We start from the raw sequence: 14,935 nt of genomic DNA, 5'->3' as shown, positions 1-14,935 counted from the left end.
GGATTATTACAAATAATCAAATCTGCATTTTCTATTTCACTACAAATAACACATATTACCTTTGGAATATTTAGAACACTACAAGCAAAATGAGAGAAAAATAAGATAACCCATCTAAAATATAATGGAAAGATTGAGCAATAGGCAGACTGGAAAAAGGCCTCTAAAGCTGGCAAGAAAGAAGTCATTGATAGCCTCAGGAAAGACATTTATAGTAAAGTACAAGAACTAGGAGCCATATTAGAGGGAAATTAGTGGAAAGCAATTACTCTCAACAATATGTTTGAGGAATTTGGTGCCAAAGGATAGTTGCATATTTCTTTTGAATCAGTCCATGTCCAAAAATCTAAGGCTTAGGCCTAACCAACTAAATTGCCTCATGCTGATTTATTCCTGTATGTCACTTTAAATTTTTACCATATCATCTCTTTTTATTAGATTTTGTTTTCACTTTTTGTTAGATTTCATTTCAAATAAGTAATTTTAAATCACAATTTTAATCATGGTCAAAAATTACTTTTAATATTATTTGATTCCTTTTAAATTAATGTAACCTTAAAAGAAGCTATTATTCACAACTCAGAAAGCTGTAGATTATAATTCTGAAAAGTGTACACTGTTAGTTCAGAGTACTAAGATGATTTTATATTTTTCCCCAATGGTTTTATAAAAATATCAGAAATTGTGGTTTTGTAAAAATACCGGAAGTTGAGTAATAAATGCTATTTTTATTTTTTACTTACAAATAGTCAAAGCCAAATATTTTTTGTAGCATCCTTAGAAACTGACTATTCATTTTTTAACAGATTAGTCATGGCTGTCTTGAGAGGAAGTAATCAAAATCAAAACTATAGCATGTACATTAATTTAATTAAAACAAGCTTATATTTTTATTTTTTCTTGACAAACTTTGGGTTCAATCAGCTGTGGTCATGGTATTGACATCCTAGAAACCTCAGTAGTGCTCCCTGTACTTAAGGGGTACTTCTGATCTATTTGTGCAGAAAGGGGCTGTGAGCACCTAAATATTGTGCCCTACCTCACGGGAATTCAAATATTTGCTTCACTTTTACATAATTCCTCTAACAATAGGAAAGCCTGGGAAAGACAGTTTAGACAATGCACCAAGTGGGAGAGAAGATGGAGAAGAGAAAATAGCAATTTAAAGATATTTAGAAATGTATTTTCCAAAGAACTCTCATATAGTATGAAACTATGTATCAGAGCTCAATTTTCATTAACTGATCAAACATCTTATTTCAGAGTTTGGTGGGAGTCACTAAAATTTGCTGCATAAAAAGGTAATTTCTAAAATTTTAAAATAATATATCTCTGATATGACAACAAATATGTTTGCTGCTTTCCAGTAACCTGATATAAAATATCATCTGGTAAAAATACTGAAAATAACAGAGATAATAAACAAGAACAGAAGTGCCATCAGCCACTGCATTGTCAAAAGAAGAGTAAATTATTTAAATAGGTTTATACTAATAGAAGACAAATGGCAATGCTTGAAATAGAAATACAGGGCGGGGCATGATGGCTCACTCCTGTAATCCCAACACTTAGGGAGGCCAAGACGAGCGGATCGCCTGAGGTCAGGAGTTCAAGACCAGCCTGGCCAACATGGTGAAACACCATCTCTACTAAAAATACAAAAAAAAAAAAATTAGCTGGGCGTGGTAGTGGGCACCTGTAATCCCAGTTACTGGGAAGGCTGAGGCAGGAGAATTGCTTGAACCCGGGAGGCGGGGATTGCAGCGAGTTAAGATCGCGCCATTGCACTCCAGCCCAGACGACAGGGCGAGACTCTGTCTCAAAAAAAGAAGACGGCAATTAACTTCTGGCTGTGCCTTTATCTAACACTTCATTACTCAACACTTTCCAACCCACTCCTGTCTAGGATTCCTTCTAAAATTGCACATGCCAAATTCCTGGAAATGAAGTTCATTCACAAAGTGTTAAAGTTGTGGGTTCTTTCATTCTTGTTCATTTTAGAATAGCTTTAAGCTCACTTACAAGGATATCTTTAGACCAAAAGGTTTCTTATGTACTTATCTTGCATCCTCTTCCCACCCAATCTCAAATACTAAAGGGGATGATAATAGTGTCTAAAATGCCTTGTTAACAAAGTTATGTACTGGGAGTTAAATAAAACCAAAATAAAGAAACCAAAATAAAGCATTTTGTAGAGAAACCAAAATAAAGCATTTTGTAGAGAACTCAACTTGATACTTTCTTTGAAATAACATTTTGAATTAAAGAAATACACAATGACAAAAAGAAGTTTTCTCTTTCACATAGAGGATATTAATCCAATCTTTGTGCCTATATTGAAAATGATTTTTTGAAACTAGAATTTTTTTAGTTCAATATTATGGTAACTGCTAAGTCTGATTATTCATGACATTTGCAAAAACTATGGGTAATGACCTGTAGCTAGGCCTTTTTCTTGCCTAACTAAAGACACAGAGATCATTCAGGGCTTTTCCTGCTGTTCTCCCATTCTCTCCATTCAAAGAAGCCTTACACAATATGCAGATACTGCCACACTGGCTGCACTCGAGCTCTTGGGTGGTTTCAGTCCTCTGCATGTGACATAACTTTTTTTATATTCAAGTGGAACTACACACTCTAACTTTTTGAGGGCAAACTGAGAGGTTTTTACTTGCAATAAGATATCTTCTTTAAAGGAGGATGGCATTCTAACTCCCTTGTAATTGCATTTTGTGCTGAAATATTCAACAGTGATGATTTCCTATCATGACTTCATTATCTCATTGAGACAGGTTTATTAGGTAGGTCTTTGTCCTTTCCTAGAAACAATAAACAGAAACCTGGCATAAATTTCAGAACAACGTTACTTTGGATCTACACATTTCTTGTGTATTGTTATAATGTGAGATTTATCTTTCTTAGAAAGGTACACAAAATCGGGGTAAGACTCACTCTTGAATTATGATTAACATCCACAAATCATCATCTTTTCCTCAAGACACGGAAAACATTATTTGTTGTATCTTAAGTTTCTGGGGTTTGGCAGCCTATGAAGGGAAAATTGACCACTGGTCTTTGAAACAGTGACTCTCAGTGAAGCTATGGAAATATTTTGCCATTGCCATTCTTCTACTCCATTGCCTTACCAACTCCATTGCCACACATACTAAAAATACCTTTCTTTAAGCACTCATCATATGTCACATTCTTGCCTGGTCTTGGCTTCAGCTACCTCTCAGTTAATCAATTATCTTCTAAAGTAAATTATTTAAATAGGTTTATACTAATGGAAGACACAACAAACCCCTTCCATGACCACTGTCACTTTAGTCAGGGACTTTTTAAAGATCAATACAAGCTCAAGGCCTAGCGAAATGAATAAAAAAAAGTATGATATTTATGGGACCAGGATTGCTGTATTCCCCAGCAGAATGAAACTAATGGTTGAAACTCTAAATTAGGCTAAATAAAAGTTCAGACTCACCAGGTCACAAGGCTATTCTAGATTAAATGAGTAGAATCTGAAATTAGTTGGTGTGAAAGGCATGAGAACCTTCCAGGCATCTGTGGGCCCACAATATGGCTACCTTCTTATGTAGCCCCTTACCACTAGTGCCTACTCAACACAACATAAACTTTATCTCAGTTACTAATTTCAAATGCCTTTCCCATTGCTGTTTCTGGAATCCTTAATAGGAATCCAGTCTACTTTGTTGTTCTCCAAAATCATCCTATCATTAACAGGCCAAAGGTTATGTGGGACATGTGCCCTTGAACACTGTAATTTGAATCTCTGGACATTACACACTTGCCAACAGGGAATCATAAAACATAATGTATGTATATATTTTGCATATTAATACAGAAATAATATTTAGCAACAAAATATTTAGCATCTATGCACCAGACTTTGTACTAAGCATTGGGGATACAAAGATAAACAAATAAACTAGGGTGCCTGGGCTCAGATTCTTGAAAAAGAAATATACACATAAGTAATTTCACTACAATATAAGGACTATAAGCAAACATGACACCGGGACCTATGACAGCACAGGGGAGGGACAGCTCACTTTCAACCTAAAGGAGAGGGCAGTAAGGGAGGGCTTCTCTGAGAAGGTAAAGTCTTAACCGATTCTTGACAAATGAACAGATGTTCTTTAGGTTAAAAAGAGAGAAATGAGAAATGAGGTTCAACTTCTGGTATGGCTTAGTAATTTACTGGACCAACCTATTTGCAGATAACTATAAATCTGGACACAAACACACACACACGCACACACATACATATATATATGCACTCACAAGTATATACACGTGTGTATATATATACACACACATATATACACGTGTGTATATGTGCTTATATACATATACACGTGTGTGTATACACACACATATGCACAGAAAGCCACCTGTAAACACTGGAGAATGACCAAGAACAGGCATTTTATGAAAGGAAAACGATACTTGGGTGAAGGGAATAGCAGGGTGTGGGTTTCCTATTTTAATAGCTTTAGTCTGAGGGAACGCTGCATTTGGTACAACAGAGGGTTGCTAAAATACTCATAGAAAACCCATAGTCTTTCAGGCCTAAAGAACATGAGAGCAAATTTGGAGCAACTAGACAAGAGAGCATCAGAGAGGGAAATCCCAAAATTATGTGTATAAAGTCTGCCCAAATCTCTAGCTGACCCCTGAATTACACATGCATGGGCAGATTTCAAACAGCTCAATTAATGATCAATATTAGATTTGAGCTGTTTCCCAAGAGATAAATTTTGCAGGTTGAGTCTTACCAAGTTAATTCCATGCCATAACAACTCTTTGGAAGAATCCAAGACAATTCATAGTCTCTACAACATAAGCATTCATATTATCTAAGATACAATCCAAATTTACTTGACATACAAAGAAATAATGAAATGTGATTCATTCTCAAAATAAAAAATCATCAACAGAGACTGACCTTGAGAAGACCCAGATGTTGGAATTAACCAACAAGGAATTTAAAGCAGTTATTATAACTACTCATGGAAACATTGAAAAATTCACTTGATGGGCCAAACAGCAGAATAGGGGTGACAAGGAAATGGTTAGTGAACCTGAAGATAGGTCCGTAGAAATTATTCAATCTGAACCAGAAAAAAAAGAGAAAATGGTAAAAATATGAACTCAGGGACTTGTGAGGCAATATCAGTAATTCTAATGTATGTAACATATGAGTTATTGTAAAAATCACAGGAGGAAGGAAAAGACAGAATGAGGCAGAAGAAACATTTAAAGAAATAATAGAAAGAAATTTCCCAGATATGGTGAAATAAGAAGCTAAGTGAACACCAAGCAGTATAAATACAAAGGAAAGAAGCCATGCCCACATGCCATAGTCGTATTTCTGAAAACAAAAGATGAGAAAATCTTGAAGGCAGTCAAAGAAAATTGGCACATAATTTATACATGGCAACAGTGATTTGAATCATAACTGACCTGTCTTCAGAAATAATAGAAGTGAGCAGACAATGGAACATCTCTAAAGTACTGAGAGGAAAAACCATCAACCCTGAGTTGTTTATTTAGCAAAAATATATGCCAATAATGAAGAAAAATATAAATTTTTGCATCAAAGGAAACTATGCAAACTTTTCATCAGGTCACTTATACTACAAAGAATGCTATAGAAGTTCTTCAGGCTGAGATGAAATCAACTGTTTCTCTCTGGGTGTCCAGGAGCTGGAATCTCAATTATCCTGATTCCTATGATGCAATTTCCATCCCTAACAAACTACTTCCAGGAGAAGGAGTACTTCACAAAATTTCCATGACATAACAGATGTCAATGCAAGTTATCTTAATCCCCTCCTTTTATATAAAAAAACTTAAAATTTTAAGATAATTTTATATTCACATTGAGTTGTAAGAAATAATACAGAGATTCTATGCACCTTCACTCAGTTTCATCCAATGGTGGTATCTTGTAAAATTATAACACAATATCACAATTAGGATACTGACATCGATACAGACAAGGTACAGAACATTTCCATTACCAACATGGATGTCTCATGTTGATGTCTATAAATACATGCACTTTTCTAACATCCTCTATTTTCTTTAGTGAAATCTCTTAAAGTTTTTTGCCCATATTTAAATTGGATTGATTTTTTTTACTGTTGGGTTTTAAGAGCTCATTATATGTTCTATATACTAATCCTTTATAAAAAGTGTTGCTTGTAAATATTTTCTGCCACTCTATAGCTTGTATTTTCACCCTCTTAACATATTCTTTCATGGATCAAATGTTTTTAATTTTAATAAAGTCCAGTTTATCAGTTTTTCTTTTTATAGATCATGCTTTTGCTATTAAATCTAAGAACTCTTTGCCTGGGCCTAAATCCTGAAGATTCTCACCTGTGTTTTTTCTATAAGTTTTACACTTTTAAACTATGTTTAAGTCTGCAGTCCAATTTGAATTACTTTTGTAAAAGGTATGGAACTTAGGTCAAAGTTTTTGTTTTGTTTTGTGTTTTGTTAGTTTATTTTCTTCCTTTTTTTTTGCCTATGGGTTTCCAGTTGCTCTGGAACCATTTGTTGAAAAGGCTATATTTATCCCATTTAATTGCTTTTGCATCTTTATCAAAAAATCAATTAGGCATATTTTTCTGGCTCCCTTTCTGGGTTCTCTGTTATATTCCACTAATCTATGTGTCCATCCCTCTGGCAATAGGACATACCCTGATTACTATATATACATAATAAGTTTTGAAACTGAGTAGACTTATCCTCAATTTATTTTTCTTTTTAAAAAACTTTTAACCTGTTTTAGTTCCCCTGGATTTTCATTCAAATTTTAGAATAATCTCATTTATATCCACAAAACAACTTGCTGGGATTGTGACAGGAATTGTATTAAATCTGTATATTAATTTGGGGAGAAATGTTGTCTTTATTATGTTGATTTTTCAATCCATGAACACAATATGACTTTCCATTTATTCTGATCCTTTTTGAAATCTTTCATCAGTGTTTGTGCAGATTTCACCATACAAGTCCTACGCATATTTGGTTAAATTTACACCTAAGTATTTCTTTTTCTGAAAGAGAGAGATTGTAAATGGTATCATATTTTTACTCTTGGAGCCCAAGTGTTCATTGCTAGTATACAGAAATACAATTTCTTTTGTACGTTTATCTTGTATTTTTTGAGACTTGCTTACCTCAATTATTAGATGGAGATTTCCGGTAGATTTCTTAGGATCTTCTATGCAGACAAATGTCGTCTACAAATAGTGACAGTTTTATTTTTTCTTTTAAGATTTTTATGCGTTTAATTTCCTTTTCTTGGCTTATTGTGCTGTCTAGACTTTCCACATTATGTTGAATAAGAGTGTATAGAATGGGTGGGGTTGGTTTTTCCTATCTGCAAATGTCCTAAAGAAAAACGTGTGGTTGAGTCATAAAGCATATCCCAAATGTGTTATCAATCAAGATGATTCACCTTGGGACTAAGATGTTAGAGAAATGGGTTAGAAGACTCAAGACTTTGGACAGGATATCAGAGTAGCAAATGGAAGTTGAACTGACTTAATTCTGGGGCTTTAAGTGCTTCTTTTTGTGCAGAGGTTAGACTCATTTAAAAGATTTGGAGAAGGATAGATGCCATCCTGGGATCCAGGAAACACCATTTGCAATCCTGCCTCAGCCCATCCCTAGTAAGAGCCAGACACCCATCTTAGCTCAGACACAGCTTTATTCTGGCAAACTCATAACCCACCTCCTCCTCTGAAGAATGAGCTGAGATACCCCAAATCATACTTGAGCTCACTCCCTGCTTCTCTCCTGCCTCTCTGAGGCATCTTCTTCCAATCTCAGTTCAAAAATTCACTTTCACTGGGACTTCTTCTTGCCGATTGAGAGCCTTCACTGTATCTGTTTTTCTGAAGAAACCCTGAGTATTTATTGTGGTTGGTTAGATCTCAAAATACATTAAACTCTATGAGAAGCAAGCAGGCAATGTTTATATTAAGTACTCCCAAATTTGTATTTGGCACTGCCATGTATCCTGATTCCCACTTATGATAGGCACTCCACTCAGCTTAACTGACCAATTGTCCTTCCCAAGTTGTAACCCTGTTGTATTATGAACGCTTTCATATTATGAATCAGAAGGATGGGGCCCAGAATCCAGCCACGGACATCCATTGGCTCCTACAACAACATGCTGTCCAGCTGAATGTCTTTAGAGTAGCACTTCTGACTCCAAGTTGTTCCTTGCCCCAAAGCTATTACTAGTTTATCCACAGTCTTCTCTGTGCTTGGGCCTTTCATGACAACTATCACCATAATCTGGGTCACACTATCTCAACCTTTTCCTTATCTTGGCGGTTGCTTTGTCCAGGTTTTCCTTCCACCTACAACCAGGCAACTGTTGCTCTAAAAACCTCTACTGAAGGGATGGGACTTGGCTGACACTTCCCCCTTAAAAAGCTGGGAAAGAAGCTGGGCGCAGTGGCACATGCCTGTAGTCCCAGCCTACTTGGGAGGCTGAGGTGGGAGGATCATCTGGGCCCATGAGTTTGAGTGTAGCTTGGGCAACATAGCAAGACCCCATCTCTTAGGGGGGAAAAGGCCAGAAAACACTTTCACCTGAACCTGGGATGCAGGCTCAGTAGCCTCAACACAGTTCTTTAGGCATACATTATGAGTTGTTTGCCATTAGTAATTCCTGCCTTTTAACCTTCCCCTCTTAGGGTTACAGGATTCTCCCCCAACACACAAATATGTCAGAAAATTGCCCTTCATGAAAATTGTCCATTCATGTCCATGCTTCCAAAATATCTACTCTTTTAACCCTCATTCCTTTCCCCACCCCCAATTTCTATTCATTCAGTGGAGGTCTCTTAATCTGGGAGGAGATAAGCTCTCCCAGAATATCTGCATTTAGAAGATTATCACTAATGCATGGAAGAAAGTCAAACAATTCAAATTATATATACATATATATATATACATATATATATGTGTGTGTGTATATATATATATATATATCCAGATAGATAGATAGATAGAAAAACTAGTAAGTAAATCAATAAACAAAACAAGCAGACAAACAAGGTGAAGATACTGAGTAGACTGAGTTGGGGTAATAGTAACAGTCATTGTGGATGGGGTCTAGGTATTGTGTTAAACGGGGGCAAACAGTTCTGCTAACAAAGACAGATCTAACTTTCCTGTAATTCTGCTTTTTATGTTCCCAGTGTATTCTTAATTTTTTAAAAAAAGAAGAAAATAAACAAAAATTTTCTCATTAGACTTTGTATACATTGTATAATAGAAGCAAGTGTTTTCCTAATGATTTTTTTTCTAATTTCACATTTGGCCAAATATCCAAATATGATGATGTCCTACCTAATATGGCATCATTGGAGTATATAATACACAATTCACCCATTTAAAGTGAACAATTCTGTGGTTTTTCACAGAGTTTTGCAAGCATCACCACAATCAATTTTAGAACATTTTTATTACCCAAAAAGAAACCCCGTGCCCATTAAGACTCACTTCCCATTTCCCTCCACCCACCTAGCTGTAAGCAACCACTAATTTCTGTCTCTATGGATTTGCCTATTCTGGAAATTTTATATAAATGGAATTACACAACATAGTCCTTTGTGATTGGCTTCTTTCATTTAGCACAGTGTTTTCAAGGTTCACCTTTGTCGTAGCATTTATCAATCCTTCATTCACTTACATGGTAAATAATATTCCATTATATAGATATATCACATGTATTTATCCATTCATCAGTTGATGGAAATTTGGATTATTTCCATTTTTTGGCAATTATGGATAATGCTGTTATGAACATTCATGTGCAAGCTTTAGAGTGAACATATGTTTTCAGTTCTCTTGGATATATACCTAGGAGCAGAATTGCTGGGTCATATGATAACTCCATGCTTAACCATTTCAAGAACTATCAAACTGTTTTCCAAAGTGATTGCACCATTTTACATTCTCACCAGCAGTGTAAGAGAGTTCCAGTTTCTCCACATCCTCGCTAACATTTGTTATTGTCCATCTTATATAGATAGCCATCTCATGGGTGTGAAGTGGTATCTCACTGTAGTTTGGATTTGCATTTTCCTGATGGCTAAAGATGTTAAAAGTTTTTTCATTTGCTTATTGTCCATTTTTACGTTTTCTTTGGAGAAATGTCTATTCAGATCCTTTGCCCACTGGATCCATTGGATCTAAATCCTTTGATCCCTTTTAAATATAGGTTATTTATTTTCTTATTTATTGGGTTGTAGGAGTTTTTGTATATTCTAGATACAAGGTCTTTATCAGATAGACATAAGATTTAAAATAATTTTCTCTGACTCTGTGGGTTGTCTTTTCACTATCTTGATGGCAAAATGTGTTTCTAAGGTGTCAGTTCATTTCATCTAAATTGTAAAATTTGTTAGTATGAAGTTGTTGATAATATCCTCTTACTATACTTCTAGTTAATACAAGATCATAGTGAAATCCTCTTTTTCTGCTCATATTGGTAATTTTGCCATTTCTCCTTTTTCACTTGATTAGTCCTGCTAGGAGTCTATCAATTTCATTAATTTTTCCAAAATACCAACTTTTAGCCTGTTAATTTTTCTCTACAATATATTTATTTTCTGTTTTATTGATTTCTGTTCTTAGCTTTATTATTACCTTTCTTCTACTTTCTTTAGGTTTGATTTGCTATTCTTCTTATAGTTTATTTGAAAGTTAAAAAATTGATATGTAGCCTTTCTTTTCTGGATATCTAGATATATTTAAGGCTAACAATTTTCTCTAGGTACTACTTTAGCTTCCTCTGACAATTTTAGGTGATATGTTCAATATCAATCAGTTCAGATATTTTCTAATTTCTATAGTAACTTCTTCTTTGATCTATGAACTGTTTTAAATTATTTTTATAAACCTATCAGATTTTTCTTTCCTAATCATATGTTTTCTTTTTCATGGCCCTAACTCCTTTCTCCTGCTATGTTACCATTCTATTTTTCTTGCTTCAGTAGCCTTTTGAAAAGGCAAGTTGGAGCATTATACAGCATCTGAAGCCTTGCAAGATAAATTGTTGCCCTTAGGAAAAGATTAAAATCATCTCTCTGGAGAGCTATGATTAATGTTCTCTTCTTTCTCATCTGGCTAACAATGTTTGGACTTAGGTAACATGGGAGTTTACCCCATTAGGAAAGCATACATCCTACCGACTGTTGGGAAACAACAGCTGAGAGATTCCATTTTCTCTCTCTCCAGGAGCTGCCACTTTGGGTACAGCTGCAGGAAGTTTCTTGAATACACTCCTTAACAAAACCACATTTGTCCTTGTGGGTTGTGTTTCAGTCCAACATAACCTTTCCTTATTTTCTTCTATGAAGGCTTTTTAAAAAAGTTCTTTACTGTTCTTTAGTGTAGGGACTCACTGCACTGGGCCAATGTTTAAGTGTGTTTATTTCTGCCACTCCCCGATAACACCAACTTTTCTCCTGCACATAAGAGCTTATCTTTTCTTTCTTTTAAATTAAATATTAAATGCCCTGAACCATAATGTTTGCTCTTCTTTTTTTTTGACCACACACAGGTTGATAGAAGTTTCTTGTTGCAAGCGGCAATAGAAAGGACAACTATTCTTAAGTTTTGATTTTTTATAGCCAGTTGTTTTGGGGCTGAATTTTCAAAAACTGAGTAGAGGTAGCCATGTGGCTGTGTGTCCTTTTCACTTAACCTCTCTGAGCCTTAGCTTCCTAATCTGAAAAATAGGGATAATAACATTTCCTACCTCAAAAGCTTATTGTGAAATGTAAGAGTAATGAATATGAAGTATTAGGAGAGCGCCTGGCATAGATTAGTTACTATTTTTATGGGACCACAAGAGAAGTACCAACTGATGACGGTGTCAAGTGAAGAGGAAGGAGTGATATTTTAGTTCTTAGTTGGATGGTCATGTCTGAACTTTCAAATTCCAGACCCTAGGCTTCATCAAAGGGATTAGCAAGAAATTGAAACTATATCAATGTAATAGAAAAAGTTCACTTATCAAAAAAAAACATAGCTGACAAGAAAATTTGAGAACAGCCACATAATATGATAAACTGGGGAAACCAATACAAACTCATTACTTAAACAAAGAACTATCTTTTCCACCTCTATCTCTAAAATCATCAGCATTTTTGCCCACCATCAACTCTCATGTGCACCTAGAACTGACATTAAAAATCTATTAAAGTCAATTTTTTGTATTTGAGTATATTTTTATATTTTTATATCAATGTTTTTGCATATTTATATCCACTCATGACCTTTCATGGGTTCAACTTTTTAAATCAGTTATTTAAATAATAATTACTATTATTTTTCTGCTCAAATGATCACAATTGACCAAGGGAAATATTGCATGCTCTTTTCCCTTCCTTCCCTTCCCTTTCTTTCTTTTTAGGGTTTCCCCTGAAGTACACTCCCTCAATTCCCTTCTACCTGAATCCCTGTGTCAGCTTCTGTTTCTAGGAAATCCAACCAATGACACATCAGTATTAGGTATGGGGTAGAAGCAGACCCTAAGGGTGGTATTCAGGAGGTGACTCACCGCTGGCCAGCTGTCAAGAATACCTTATTGCTACTAATAGGTTGAACACTGATAATTCAAGATACGTTAAAGCAGTAAAATTGTTAACACTTTTCAACTGTGGTTGAGTGCAATGGGATCTACTAGAAGGAGATGCACTGGCCTGTGTAATATCGCTGGCATTTAAGAAGTATGGGAGGAGGAGTAATTATAAGGATTGTGGAATTGCATAACTGTTGCTAAGCACCATGAATGCTTTGAAGAGAAGGAAAAAAAAGGCTAAATGTGATTGCTCATCAATTCAAAGCCAGGTATAAAAACTAAATCTCTTCATTGGTATTAATTAAAGAAACCCTCATCTTCACAGAACCTACTCTTTAAGAGTGGCAGAACTTTAGAAAATATAGCATTTCCAACCCTAGCAAGCCCCCTGTGCCAAAATCAGGGCCCCAAGATGGGAGTAATACAACTCTGAGACTTGGGTTAAGTATTCTAAATAGACCTACTTCAGAACATTGAACCCCAGGTGTGCCCGAACCCTATGGGCCTGCAGAAATGGCCCACTCATTTTTGTTAAAAGATGCATGCTGCTTTGCTTGAAGAATATGCAGAAGTTTTAAATAGGCAGATGACTTATAAGACAGTGTTTGACCATTTCAGGATCTGTCACCCACTCCTGTCTTGGCAATCAGATTTGACTAGGGTCAAATCACAGCACGATAAAGGAGAGGCAGGTCTGATAAAGGAGGAAATGGATGAGCTACAAATGAGCTGCAGGAGTTCAGTAACATACGTGAGCAAGAACTAGGAAGTATATCCTGAGGATGTAGAATCAAGGGAAGTAGAGCATAGAGTGGAATAAGAGAGTCTGTTGATCTAAGGGCTCTCCCATGACATTGGACTTAACACCCTGGCAAGGATCTTGTTGTCCAGTTCTCATAAGCAGAGATGGATTTTAGGAGCTTGAAAAAAGCAATGGCTTATTTTAAATGAAATGGAAAATTCAACAGTTAACTAATTATGTTCCTTCAAAAGGGAATACCTTTTGAGAGACGTTGAATAAAAGTTCTGATTGAATACTGACAACCAATGATGTATTATCATGATTGTTAGAATAAAAGAGGATGTCAGGTAATAAATAGAGTATTGGCCCAAGTCTATCTCACAGTGAGTCCATTATGTTTATTGACCCACCTAATGGTCATTTTCATGATACCTAAACATATCATTGAAATGGATATACTTAGCAATTGGCAGAATCCTCACATTTGTTTCTTGAACTGTGAACAAAGCTATTATAGCAGAAAATCCCTTAAATTTCCCTTACCATCCTTGGAAGATTGTAAAATAAAAAACAATGCTGCTTCTAGGGGGAATGGCAAAGATTAGTACCATACTTGAAGACGTCAATGATACAGGCTTAGTGGTACCCATCATATCCCCAAGTCATTATCCACTTTGGCCTCTAAAATACAAGGTGAAGGTCTTAATCTATTTGAGCTGCTATAACAAAATACCACAGACTGAGTGTCTTATAAACAACAGAAATGAATTGCTTGTAGTTGAGGAGCCTGCCAGCAGATTCAGTATCTGGTGAGCGCTCACTTCCTGGTTTAGAGACAGTCATCTTTTCCCTATGTCCTCACAAGTCAGAAGGGGTGAGGGAGCTCTCCAGAATCTTTTATAAGGGCACTAATCCCATTCATGAAGGCTCTGCCATGATGACCTAATCACCTAATAATGGCCACACCTCCTAATACCATCACACTAGGGAGTAGGTTTCAACATATAAATTGGCGGGGGGACGTAAGCATTCAGTCTATATCTGTGCATAATGTCTCGAACTTAACTAAGTAGTAACCCTAATTGCAGCTACTCTGCTGAATGTGGTATTTTTATTACAGCAGACTAACACAGCCCCTGATAAATGATATGGGCTTATTAATCTGGCATATGCGTTGTTTTCAATACCTAGCAGGCAGGAAGAGTATAAACAGTTGGCCTTACATGGGATGGAAAACAGTACAAATGAATGGTTTTGCCCAGGGGCTAAGTTATTCTCCTGTTTTTTTTTTTTTTTTTTTTTTTTTTTTTTTGGAGAAGGAGTCTTGCTCTGACACCCAGGCTGCAGTGCAGTGGCGTGATCAGGGCTTACTGCAACCTCCACCTCCTGGGTTCAAGCGATTCTCCTGCCTCAGCCTCCTGAGTAGCTGGGATTACAGGCACACACCACCACACCCGGCTAATTTTTGTATTTTTAGTAGAGTCGGGGTTTCACCATGTTGGCCAGGCTAGTCTGGAACTCCTGACCTCAGGTGATCCACCCACCTC

At 36.0% G+C, this 14,935-nt stretch overlaps 1 protein-coding gene across 8 annotated transcripts in view; it reads right to left on the bottom strand.

Annotated features, from left to right (window-relative positions):
* Positions 1-14,935, bottom strand: part of TEX9 (testis expressed 9) — a 216,038-nt gene that overhangs the window by 105,927 nt on the left and 95,176 nt on the right. The window lies entirely within an intron of this gene.

The sequence above is a fragment of the Homo sapiens genome, chromosome 15 (genome assembly GCF_000001405.40).
Source record: "Homo sapiens chromosome 15, GRCh38.p14 Primary Assembly".
Classification (NCBI taxonomy): domain Eukaryota; kingdom Metazoa; phylum Chordata; class Mammalia; order Primates; family Hominidae; genus Homo; species Homo sapiens.
The sequence above is the reverse complement of the archived record's forward strand: the minus strand, read 5'-3'. Positions and strand labels throughout refer to the sequence as shown.